The 12,138-nt window shown below is 35.7% G+C and overlaps 1 protein-coding gene and 1 long non-coding RNA gene across 10 annotated transcripts in view; one reads left to right on the forward strand and one right to left on the reverse strand.

Moving 5' to 3' along the window:
- Positions 1-12,138, forward strand: part of CCSER1 (coiled-coil serine rich protein 1) — a 1,477,902-nt gene that overhangs the window by 1,142,374 nt on the left and 323,390 nt on the right. The gene's annotated exons all lie outside the window — the stretch shown is intronic.
- Positions 1-12,138, reverse strand: part of LOC124900733 (uncharacterized) — a 56,617-nt gene that overhangs the window by 1,183 nt on the left and 43,296 nt on the right. The window lies entirely within an intron of this gene.

The following is a 12,138-nucleotide window of genomic DNA, read 5'->3' on the forward strand; positions in this document are numbered from 1 at the left end:
TTAACTTCCAGAGGGTGTAAGATAATACAATTAAAACTCTACTTAAAAAAAATTCATACCCCTTTAGATTCCAATTGTGTACTTTTAAAATAATATTACAGCTCTTTAGTCACACACTTATCTGCAATTCTGAGATCCAAAACACAAATAAGCAAACCAAATCCCCTGATAAGTGAAAGTTCTTTTATGAATTATATGGTAACAAAATCTTACCTGAATTGAAAAGAAGCTATTTACAGTTTTTAAAAATCAAAGTGTGATTATACTTTTGCCGCAGAGATATTAATGTCTTTGATTACACCAGCTCCAGATGTAGCTAAGGGTGCTTTTTGTAAATTCTGAATAATTCTGAATTCTGAAAAATCACTTGGCCTCAAGCTTTTGGATAAAGAGTTACTTAAGAATTTTCTTATGTTTATATTTCCATTCCATGTCTAACACTGTTTTGCTTTTTGATGTGTGTGCCTGAGGCCAGGGAATAAGTGCTGAATTCTTATTCAATTATAGTTCAGGTATTATTTTAACATTTTTCCTAGGTAAAAATGGTGTTGACTCTTACTCTAACAAGATGGTATGTTACTCTTTTCTATACCTATGTTCTGAGCTACACCAAGAATCTCTCTTTAGTAACCACTTCCAGAGGAGTAGGAAGGTATTAACAACGTTCATCACATTTTTTTTTGTTCTTTTTAAGGCATTTCTTTTTCCTTTCTTTCATGGATTTCTGTTCTTTACATTCATTCTCTGTGACAGACTCATGTGCTTATTACAGGTCTAATTTACAGTGAAGACAGTTTATAACAGAAATCACAATACTCATAATTCACAAAGCAGTCTCTAATTGGCTCAGTCCTCATACTCATCCTGATTATACAGACTCAGAATCTGGTGGAGAAGCTCCTGGGATGCAGAGGCCAAAAGAATTCAGTTCAAGGCTGTCAGTGCCACTTTCCAGCTTTGTAGCCATGGAAATTTACTTTGCTACTTCTCCCTCTTTCCTATTTGTGGTAATGGAAGGCTATTATATAGTATGGAGATAATATATGCTTCAGATAATTTTGTCATTGCTAATATAATAAAGCATTTTAAATAAGTACATGGTGTGCTATGAAACACTGAAAAAAATAGTTAAATAAATGTAATGATATTCATGAACTACAGGTTGTGTGTGGGGAAAAAAGCCCAGAAGTGCAGGAGTTCTCTACTGGATTTATTAAGCTCCTATGGTTAAGCTGAACACTAACTTATTCTTAAATATGTCTTGCATGAATAAGTTCTATATCTGGATTTAGATATATTAATATATTAAATATTGTTGTTTTAATTCATTGTCTTAAGTAATAGATAGATTTTTTAAAATCAATATTTTAGAAAGAAAACAGTAGAAGGAAAATTATGTGGGTAAATTGAATAATCTAGGCTTTGTCATCATATCTCCTTAAATGTTTTCTTTTAACTGGTCATAAGTTACTTATGCTAAGCAGTTTTCTGTAGCATAGTACTTTTTTTTTCCCCATAGGTTATTGGGGAACAGGTGGTGTTTGGTTACAATAATAAGTTCTTTAGTGGTGATTTGTGAGATTTTGGTGCATTCATCACCCAAGCAGTTTACACTGCACCCAGTTTGTAGTCTTTCATCTCTCACCCCCTTCCCACCCTTTCCTCCTGAGTCCCTGAGGTCCATTGTGTCATTCTTATGCCTTTGCATCCTCATAGCTTAGCTCCCACTTATGAGTGAGAACATATGAACATACAATGTTTGGTTTTCCATTCCTGAGTTACTTCACTTAGAATAGCAGTCTCCAATCTCATCCAGGTCGCTGCAAATGCCATTTACTAATTCCCTTTTATGGCTGAGTAGTATTCCATCATATATATGATATACATATATACACACATATATATATGATATATATACACACACATATATATGATATACATATATACATACACATATACATATGATACACATATATATATCACAGTTTCCTTTTGTTTGTTTTTGAGACGGAGTTTCGCTCTTGTTGCCCAGGCTTGAGTGCAATGGCACCATCTCAGCTAACTGCAACCTCTGCCTCCTGGGTTCAAGTGATTCTCCTGCCTCATCCTCCCGAGTAGCCAGGATTACAGGCACATGCCACCACTCCTGGCTAATTTTGTATTTTTAGTAAAGACAGGGTTTCACCATGTTGGCCAAGCTGGTCTCAAACTCCTGATACCACAGTTTCTTTATCTACACATTGATTGACTGGCAGTTGGGTTGGTTCCACATTTTTGCAATTGCAAATTGTGCTGCTATAAACGTGTGTACAAGTATCTTTTTCATATAATGACTTATTTTTCTCTGGGTAGATAGCCAATACTGGGATCAAATGATAGTTCTACTTTTAGTTCTTTAAGGATTCTCCACACTGTTTTCCATAGTGGTTGTACTAGTTTACATTCCCACCAGCAGTGTAAAAATGTTTCCTGTTCACTGCATTCACACCAATATCTATTATGTTTTGATTTTTTGATTATGGCCATTCTTGCAGGATAAGGTGGTGTCCCATTGTGATTCTGATGTTCATTTCCCTGGTCATTAGTGATGAGCATTTTTTCATATATTTATTAGCCATTTGTATATCTTCTTTTGAGAATTGTCTATTCATGTCCTTAGCCCACTTTTTGATGGAATTGGTTTTTTTTCTTGCTAATAAGTTTGAGTTTGTTGTAGATTCTGGGTATTTGTCCTTTGTCAGATATATAGATTGTGAAGATTTTCTCCCACTCTGTGGGTTGTCTGTTTACTCTGCTGGCAGTTCCTTTTGCTGTGCAAAACCTCTTTAGTTTAATTAAGTCCCGGCTATTTATCTTTGTTTTTATTGCATTTGGTTTTGTGTCTTGGTCATGAACTCTTTGCCTAAGCCATGCCCGAAGGGTTTTTCCAATGTTATCTTCTAGAATTTTTATAGTTTCAGGTCTTAGATTTAAGTCCTTGATTCATCTTGAGTTTATTTTTGAATAAGGTGAAAGATGAGGATCCAGTTTCATTCTCCTACATGTGGCTTGCCAATTATCCCAACACCATTTTTTGAATAGTGTGTGCTTTGCCCACTTTATATTCTTGTTTGCTTTGTCAAGGATTGGTTGGCTGTAAGTATTTGGTTTTATTTCTGGGTTCTCTATTCTGTTCCTTCCATCTGTGTGCCTATTTTTATATCAGTATCATGCTGTTTTGGTGACTATGGCCTTATAGTATAGTTTGAAATCGGGTAATGTGATGCCTCCAGATATGTTCTTTTTGCTTAGTCTTGCTTTGGCTATGCTGGCTCTTTTTTTGGTTCTATATGAATTTTAGGATTTTTTTTTTCTAATTCTGTGAAGACTGATTGTGGTATTTTTATGGGAATTGTGCTGAATTTGTAGATTGCTTTTGACAGTATAGTCATTTTCACAATATTGATTCTACCCATCCGTGAGCATAGGATGGGTTTCCATTTGTTTGGGTCATCTGTGATTTCTTTCAGCAGTGTTTTGTAGTTTTCCTTGTAGAGGTCTTTTAACTCCTTGGTTAGGTGTAATCCTAAGTGTTTGTTTGTTTTTTTGTTTTTTCAGCTATTGTAAAAGGGGTTGAGTTCTTGATTTGATTCTCTGCTTGGTTGCTGTTTGTGTATAGAAGATCTACTGATTTGTGTGCATTAATTTTGTATCCGGAAACTTTGCTGAATTCTTTTATCAGTTCTAGGAGTTTTCTGGAGGAGTCTTTAGGGTTTTCTAGGAAAACAATCATATCATCAGCAGACAGTGACAGTTTGACTTCCTCTTTACCGATTTGAATGCCCTTTATTTCATTTTCTTGTCTGATTGCTCTGGCTAGGACTTCCAGTACTGTATTGAAGAGGAGTGGTGAGAGTGGGCATCCTTGTCTTGCCAGCTCTCAGATGGAGTGCTTTAAACTTTTCTCTATTCAGTATTATGTTGGCTGTGGGTTTGTCATAGATGGCTTTTATTACACTGAGGTATGTCCCTATATGCCAATTTTGCTGAGAGTTTTAATCATAAAAGGATGCTAGATTTTGTTGAATGCCTTGTCTTCATCTATTGAGATGATCATGTGATTTTTGTTTTTGATTCTGTTTCTGTGGTGTATCACCAAAGCACAGTACTTTTAAAAGCAATAATTAGGCTTCTTATGGTAATATCTGATTATTTGTCACTCCAACACAAGTATCACTTGGAAAAAAATAGTTAGGTTAACTCTCCTTTATTTTTAACTAATATACATATTATACCAATAAGAAAGTCTAAAATAAAGTTTATAAAGTCTGGGTTCAGTAAATGAGCACTTTGGTAATACACTATCTTAGATTTGGCATCTTATTAAAAAATAAATTTGGCTATTTTGTCTTTATGCTGATGTGATGACTTTTTAATTTTTTTTATTTTTATTGATACATACTATTTTTACATATGTATGGGGTACATGTGATATTTTATTACATGCATAGAATGTGTAATGATCAAGCCAGAGTGTTTAAGATATCCTTGCCTTAAGTATTTATCCTTTCCTTGTGTCAGAACATTTCCAGTCCTTTCTTTCAGCTATTTTAAAATATACGAAACACTGTTGTTTACTATAGTCACCCTACTCTGCTATTGAACATTAGGGCTTATTTCTTCTTTCTAACTGTATGTTTATACCCATTAACCACCCTCTGTTCATCACACCACCCACCCACCCATTTTTCCCAGGCCCTAGTATTTATCATTCTACTCTCTACCTCCATGAGATTAATGTTTTTAGCTCCCACATGAGTGAGAACATGCACTATTTGTTTTTCTGTGCCTGGCTTATTTCACCTGAAATAATGACCTCTAGTTCATCCATCTTGCTGCAAATGACATGAGTTATTCTTTTTTATGGCCAAATAGTATTCTCTTGTGTATGTATACCACTTTTCTTTATTCGTTTGACCATTAATGGACACTGAGGTCCATTCCATATTTTTGCTATTGTGAATAATGCTGCAATAAACATATGGGTGCAAGTATCTTTTTGAAATACTAATTTATTGGCCTGGCGCAGTGGCTCATGCCTGTAATCCCAGCACTTTGGGAGGCTGAGGCGGGCGGATCACGAGGTCAGGAGATCGAGACCATCCTGGCTAACACAGTGAAACCCCGTCCCTACTAAAAATACAAAAAAAATAGCTGGGAGTGGTGGCAGGCGCTTGTAGTCCCAGCTACTTGGGAGGCTGAGGCAGGAGAATGGTGTGAGCCCGGGAGGCAGAGCTTGCAGTGAGCCGAGATCGCGCCACTGCACTCCAGCCTGGGTGACAGAGCGAGACTCCGTCTAAAAAAAAAAAAGAAACACTAATTTATTTTCCTCTGCCTAAGTGCCCAGTAGGGGATTGCTGCATCATGTGGTAGTTCTATTTATCGTTTTTCAAGAAATATTCATACTGTTTTCCATAGTGCATGTATTAATTTACATTTCCACCCACAATGTATAAGAGTTCCCTTTTCTTTGCATCCTTGCCAGCATCTGTTTTTTTTTGTTTGTTTTTGTTTTTTGTTTTTGTTTTTGTTTTTGTCTTTTTAATAATAGCTACTCTAACTGGGTTAAAATGATATTTCAATTTGTTTTTGATTTGCACCTCCCTGATGATTCGTGATGTTGAGCATTTTTTCAACTACCTGTTGGCCATTTTTATGTCTTCTTCTGACAAATGTATATTAAGATAATTTGTCCAACTTTTAGTGGGTTTATTTAGCTTTTCTTTTCCGTTAAATTGTTTAGGTTCTTTGTATATTCTGCATATTAGTTTCTTGTTTGATGAATAGTTTGCAAATATTTTCTCTCATTCTATAGGTTGTCTCTTCAGTCTGTTGACTGTTTCTTTTGCTGTGCAGAAGCTTTTTAGTGTAATAGAATCTCATTTGCCTACTTGTGTTTTTGAGGTCTTAGCCATAAAACCTTTGCCCAGAGCAATGTCCTGAATTGTTTCTTCTATGTTTTCTTTTAGCAGTTTTATAGTTTCAGCTTTTAGATTTAAGTCTTTAAACCGTCTTGAGTTGATTTTTGTAGATGGTGAGAGATACGGTTTCAGTTTCATTCTGTTGCATATAGATGTCCAATTTACCCAGCACCATTTATTGAAGGGACTCCTTTACTCCAATTTATTTTTTTGGTGTTTTTGTCAAAATTAGTTAACTATAAAAACATGGATTTATCTGGGGTTCTCTATTCTATTCCATCAGTCTATGTGTCTTGTTTTTGTACCAATACCATTCTATTGTTATTACTCTAGGCTTGTAATAAATTTTGAAATCAGTTAGTATGTTGCCTCTGGTTTCATTCTTTTGGTTCAGAATTGCCTTGTCTATTCCAGCTCTTTTTTGGTTCCATACACATTTTAGGATTTTTTTTTCTATTTCTGTGAAAAATGACATTGGTATTTTATTAAGGATTGCACTGAATTTGTAGATTTCTTTGGGTAGTATAGTTACATTAATGATGTTAATTCTGCTGGGATGTCTTTCCTTTTTTTTTTTTTTTTTTGTCCTCAACTTCTTTCATCAGAATTTTGTAGTTTTCCTTGAGTAGGTCTTTCATCTCCTTGAATACATTTATTTCTAGGTAATTTTTGTAGCTATTGAAAAATGAGATTACCTTCTTCATTTCTTTTTCAACCAGTTTATGATTAGTATATAACACTACTGATTTTTGTATGTTGGTTTTTGTATCCTTCAACTTTACTGAATTTATTTATCAAATCTAAGAGTTTTTGGTGGAGTCTTTAGCTCTTTCTGTAATAGAAATAAGATCATGTCATCTCCAAACAGGGATAATTTTACTTCCATTTTTTCAATTTGGAATGCCTTTTCTTTCTTTCTCTTACCTGATTGTTCTGGCTATGTCTGCCAGTACTGTGTTGAGTAGGAGAGATAAAAGTGGATATCCTTGTTTTGTTCCAGTTCTTAGAGAAAAGATTTTCCAGTTTTTCCCATTGTGTCCAAGGTTAGCTGTAGGTTTATCATATATGGCATTTGTTATCTTAAGGTATGTTCCTTTTATGCCTATAAGGCAGTTTTTTTGAGTTTTTATCATAAAGGAATGTTGAATTTTTCCAAATGCTTTTTTACAACTATTGAGATGATCATATGGTTTCTATTCTTCATACTGTTGAGGTGATACATGACATTTATTGATTTGCATAGGTTGAACTAGTCTTGCACTGCTGGGATAAATGTCACTTGATCATGGTGTATTATATTTTTGATATACTCTTAGATTTGATTTGCTGGTATTTTGTTGAGGATTTTTGCATCTATGTTTATCAGGGATATTGGACTGTAGTTTTCTTGTTGCACTTTTTTCTGCCTTTGGTATCAGGGTAATACTGCCCTCATAGAATGAGTTAGCAAGAATTCCCTTCTTGTAAATATTTTTGAATAGTTTCAGAAGAATTGGTATAAGTTCTTAGAAAGTTTCGTACATTTCACCAGTGAAGCTATTGGATCCTGACTTCATGAGACTGATGTATTCAATTCTGGACTTCTTTTGGCGGGGCTTGGCGGAGACTTTTTATTACTGCTTCAATCTTATTATGTGTTACTGATCTGTTCAGATTTTCTATTTCTTCCTGTTTCAGTCTTGTTAGGTTGTATGTGTCCTGGTATTTATCCATTTTGTTTAAGTTTTCCAGTTTGTTAGTATATATTTGTCCATAATAGTCTCTGATTATTTTTTGTTATTGTGGTATCCATTTTGTCCTTTTTTTTTTTTTTTTGGCTTCTGATTTTATTTGTTTTTTTTCCTCTTTTTCTTGGTTAGTCTAGCTAGTGGTTTATCTATTTACTTATCTTTTTTAAAAAACAACTTTTTGTTTCATTGATCCTTTATATATATTTTTTGAGTCTCAATTTTGTTTAGTTCTGCTATGACTTTTATTATTTCATTTTTCTCTACTAATTTTGGGTTTGGTTTGTTCTTGCTTTTCTAATTTCTTGAGGTGCATCATTGCATGCTTAGAAATCTTTCTATTTTTTTGATCTAGGGTTTTGTTGTTACAAACTTGCATTTTAACATTGCTTTTGCTGTATTCCATAGGTTTTGATATGTTGTGTCTCAATTTTCATCTTTTCAATAAATTATTTTATTTCTTTCTTAATTGCTTCCTTGACCCAATGGTTATTCAGGAGCATGTTGTTTAATTTCCATTTATTTGTACAGCTTCTAAAGTTCCTATAGTTATTGATTTCTAGTTTTATTCTATGGTGGCCTGAGAGGATACTTGATATATTTCAATTTTTAAAAATTTGTTGGGGCTTGTTTTGTGTCCTAACATATGGCCTGGAGAATGTTCCATATGCTAAGGAGAAGAACGTTTATTCTGCTGTTCTCAGATGAAATAATCCGTAAATGTCTGCTAGGTCCATTTGGTCTAAAATGCAGTTTAAATCCAATGTTTCTTTGTTGATTTTCTGTGTAGATGATTGGTCTAATGCTGACAGTAGGGCGTTGAAGTCCCTAACTATTACTATTATTGTATTGGAATCTGTTCTTCCCTTTACATCTGGTAATGTTTGCTTTATGTATCTGGTGCTCCTCTATCAGGTGCATATATGTTTAGAAATGTAATACCCTCTCACTGAATTGATCCTTTAATCATTATATAATGAGCCTTTTTGTCTTGACTGAAAAGTCTGTTTTACCTGAAGTAAGTATAGCTACTCCTGATCATTTTGGTTTCTGTTTGCATGGAGTATCTTTTTCCGTCTCTTTATTTTCTGTCTGTATGTGTCTTTGTAGATGCAGTGAGTTTCTTACAGGCATTGTATAGTTGGGTCCTGTTTGTGTTTTGTTTTGTTTTGTTTTTGCCTTTAGCCAGTCTATATCTTTTAAGTGGAAAGTTTAATCCATTTACCTTCAAGGTTAATGTTGATATGTGAGGTTTTTTTCTTGTCATTTTATTAATTAGTTTCTCATTTCTCTATCCTTATTTATTTCTCCTTCTTATTGTTTATCATTCATGTTGGGTGGTTTTCTGTGGTGGTAATATTTGAGTCCTTTGTTTTTCTCATTTGTGTGTGTACTGTACCACTGAGTTTCATATTTTTGTGTGTTTGCCTGATGGTAGATATTATATTTTCATTCCCACGTGTAGAACTCCCTTAAGCATTTCCTGTATGACCAGTCTAGTGGTTATGAATTCCCTCAGCTTTTGCTGACCTGGGAAAGACTATCTCTTCTTCGTTTATGAAGGATAAATTTGCTGTATAGCATGTCCTTGGCCGCCAGGTTTATTTTTTTTTTTTTCTTTCAGCACTGAATATATCACTCCATTCTCTCCTGGCCTGTGAGGTTTCTGTTAAGAAATCTGCTGTTAGTCTGATGGAATTGCCTTAGAAGTGAGTCGATGCTTTTCTGTTGCTGTTTTTAAAAATCCCTTTGTCTTTGACTTTTGACAATTTGACTATAATGTCTTGGGAAGGCCTTTTTGAGCTTCCTGTATCTGAATGTCTCAATCTCTTGCTAGAGTTGGAAAGTTTTCAGTTATTATTTCAATAAGTGTGTTTTGTATTCCTTTTATTTTCCCTCCACCTTTGAGAGACCCCCAAAATTAGAATATTTGGTGGACTTATGGTATCCTATATGTCTCATAGATTTTGTTCATTTATTTTTATTTTTTTTCCTTTATCTTTGTCTGACTGAGTTATTTCAAAAGAACTGTCTTCAAGTTCTGAAACTTTTTCTTCTGCTTGATCTAGTCCTTTGTCAAAGCTTTGAGCATTTTGTATTTCATTCAAGGAATTCATCAGTTTAACAGTTTCTATTTGGTTCTTTTTTGTGATATCTATCTCTTTGGTAAATTGCTCATTCATATCCTGAATTGCTTTTCTGATTTCTTTGTATTGATTTTCTGAATTATCTTGTTTCTAAGTGAGCTTCTTAAATAACACTACTTTGAATTATTTTTCTGGAATTTCACAAATTTCTTCATTGGAATTGTTGCTTGAGAATGATTGTGTTTTTTGGGAGGTGTCTTCTTTCCTTGCTTTTTCATGTCTCTTGTGCCCTTATATTGATATTTGCACACCTGGTGTACTAGTCACTTCTTTCTATTTTTTGAATATTTTTTAATAAGAAAGGACTTTTTTCCTGAAGATGTATCTGTGGTGTTCGTTGGATAAGGTGCTTTGGCTTTAATTCTGGTCATGTGCCGTAGTATAGTCTCTATATGATTTATTGGCTGTAAACAGTGTCAGTAGTGTCTATGATTTCCACACTGGCTGAGAGTGTGTTTGTTTGTGCAGACTGTGGTAAAGTTTTACTGGAGATGAAGACATTAAACAGGCCAGTCATTTGGCCACAGTACAGGAGTGGCAGGACAAGCATGCCTGTCCTTGAGCCCCAAAGCAGTAATGCTGGCACCAGTGTTAGTGGGTTTAGGCAGAGTGATTCTTGGGCCTCCAGTCAGCTTGCTTGAGTGCTGGTAGTGACAACAATGGGTCAGGTAGGTGGGAAGTTTCTTGGGCCTCTGGAGACCACCCAAGTTGGTATTGCATGGGTGATAGCAGTAGCAGTGGTGAGACAATCATCTGGCCCCCAAGAAGTCCACTCCACTGTTAGTGGTGATTGCAGTGGACTGGATGGATTAGTTCCAATGCTCTCAAGTGGCACATACAGGTGGGTGCCAGCTGTGATGGTAGTTATCAGGTTGTGTTTGCCCATCCTCAGGCCTCTGGAATAAGTACACAGGTGCTGAGAGAGGTGGATAGGACAGGGCGATCCCCAGAACCCTGGTGAAATGCTTGGGTGGGGGCAGCAGTGATTACACTGTGGCTCTGCTGCTGTAGAGAGTGGCGTTGTTTTCCTTTGCAGCAGACATAAACAAGTGGTTTAGGAGTGAGAGCATCGGCCACAGGTGGTGTCTATAAGTGGGGTATAATATTTCCTCAGGGCATTTTTAAATGAACAGAGACCCTGCTACTGAAGGAGACTGGGTTGCTGCCAATGGCTCACACTTGGGCTCTGACAGCAGCCAGCAGCAGTACCTGGCTGTGGGAAGGGAATGTCAGTGGTGCTCCAGAGATGTGGAGATGCAGGGACTGTTGCTTCCCAGGGAAGGATGCAGTTGGTGGGTCGTTAGGCTCTCAAAATGGTGTGGTGCTATATTTGCTTAGGACTCAGGGCAAGTGTGGCCCCAGTGTGAGCTCCCTCTATGAAGCAATGTCATTGGGTGGTCTCTGAAAATCTCTGTATGTTAGTCTTAGGGCTTGTGTGAGTTGAGGGGCTCTTCTGTGGCTAGAATTGCAGAAATCCACCATGGAAATGTAGACCACTGGTAGTCAGTAACTTACCCTTCCCTTGTTTTGGGGAATCTCTCCAGGCTCCCAGCTGTTCCCAGTTGAGCTGGCTGCCTCACATTCCTTTCCTTCCATGTCTTAGGCATTTCTTGTCATTTTTCATTGCATTTCAGCATTTTCTTTCTTATGGGATCTATTCAAAATGTGATTATCTATTCACTCTTTTGGTTCTTATCTGTGGAGGGATCAAGTATCACATGCCTCTAGTCAGCTATCTTGAAGCCCCTCCCTGATGGAATTTCTCATTGTAAAAGATTTCATTGAGCATAAACATATAACTAAATTAAATGACTCTGACAGTGTAATGAAAAAACACAAATACAAGGCAGCCACATGTACAAAGTGCAATCAAAAAGAAACTTAATTGATACAGAAGTAGGTAACTGTAGGGGAGAACTGTGATCTGGGGAGACAACTCAGGATGTCGACCATATGACATCAGATTTTTCATTAGAATGAAAGAAGTATCATGTAGTAAATGCCTCGGAACCAGTTAGATAAAAATGTAAAGCCAAGGTCTTCTTCAGCAGAATTTTGTTTAGCTATTCTGGACTTACTTAATTGTGACTTTCCTGTGATTTATCTCAACAACTTGAAGTTTTTGATATTAGGAGACTAGCTTCTCCAGTCAGTGTATTATAAATATATTACTTTCTCATAGTTTACATTTTTCTTTGTAAGTAAGTTTGTTCCTTGTTTGTTATAGGAATGCATTGTAGTATTCCTCTTTCCCTAGTTAAATCTCTAATGAAGATCAGTCCTAACATATTACAGGCCTCAGAA

This window comes from Homo sapiens, chromosome 4, assembly GCF_000001405.40.
Source record: "Homo sapiens chromosome 4, GRCh38.p14 Primary Assembly".
In the NCBI taxonomy this organism is placed as follows: Eukaryota; Metazoa; Chordata; class Mammalia; order Primates; family Hominidae; genus Homo; species Homo sapiens.